Here is a 1,451-nt window from a genome sequence, read left to right as displayed (position 1 = left end):
TGCATGAAAAAGTGGCCTAAATGCTTATGGTCCCCACTCCTGTCTCTCTCTCTCCCACCTGCACTTATGGCGTCATAAGGGGTTCCCTACAATCAGTTAACAGAGAAAGAGAAGACAGTCCTATCTTACAGATTGTTCTGCACGATATGCAGGCACCGCTCAAAAGCGGACAGCCACAGCACTACAGCCACTTTCTGGGATACCCCTGAAGAATGGTAGTGAAGGGAAATCCTCCCAGTGGGCAGAAATCTGGGCAGTACACCTTGTTGTGCACTTTGCTTGAAATGACAGTGAATTGCTGTAAGCTTGAACTTACAATAAATGGACTAATATGCAATTGTATACCAATTAGTGGTCTGTAGCCAGTGATTTGGCTGGATGGTCAGAGACTTAGAAAAAATGTGATTGGAAAACTGGTCACAAAGATTTGAGGGAAGAGGTACGTGGATACACCTTTCTGAATGCATAAAAAATATAAAGATATCTGTGACCCATGTGAATGCTCACCCAAGTGTGACCTCAGCAGAGGAGAATTTTCATAATCAAGTGGATAGAATGGCCCATTCTGTGGATAGCAATCAGCTTCTTTTCCCATCCACCCTTGTCCTCACCCAATGAGCTCATAAACAAAGTAGCCATGATGGCAGGGATGGAGGTTATGTGTGGAGATAGCAAAATGGACTTCAGAATAGAAATGAGGACTAAAATTGCCATGAGTCTTTTCTCCTTATTTTGTTATGAATACGTATATGTACATAAAATACCTTTGTTTTATTCCATTATTCCCTTACCATGTAACAACATAAGATGTATTGACTATAAAATACCTTTGTTTTATTCCATTATTCCCTTACCATGTAACAACATAAGATGTATTGACTATAAAATACCTTTGTTTTATTCCATTATTCCCTTACCATGTAACAACATAAGATGTATTGACTATATGGAATAATATTTAAGTATAGTTAATTTTATATCACAGTATTTAAGTTATGAGATACCAGGGAAAGAGTAACCGTCACTCAAAGACTACCTCCTCTTCTGGGAAAGAGTTAGGGCATTTTCAGTTGTACACAGGGCAGTTGTATCATATTTGGTGTAACTATGACCTTGTCTGTTATTGCATGCATTTGGAGATTAAGTATGATTTTAAAAATGTGTATGTATGGGTGCCAAGTTAACAATGGGTAGGCTTATATGTGTCAACTTGACTACACATGAGGTGCCCAGATATTTGGTTAAACATAATTTTGTGGGTGTCTTTTAGGGTGTTTTAGATGAGATTGACATTCAAATTAGTAAACTAAGTAAAGAAAATTTCCCTTCCTAATTTGGATGGGCCTCATTCAATCAGTTGAAGGCCTGGCTTAAAAAAAAAGGGACCATCCTCTCCTCCTTCAAGTAAAGGGGAGCTCCTCCTGCCTGGCTGCCCTGAATTGGAACTTTGG

This window comes from Homo sapiens, chromosome 12 (genome assembly GCF_000001405.40).
Source record: "Homo sapiens chromosome 12, GRCh38.p14 Primary Assembly".
NCBI lineage: Eukaryota > Metazoa > Chordata > Mammalia > Primates > Hominidae > Homo > Homo sapiens.
The sequence above is the reverse complement of the archived record's forward strand: the minus strand, read 5'-3'. Positions refer to the sequence as shown.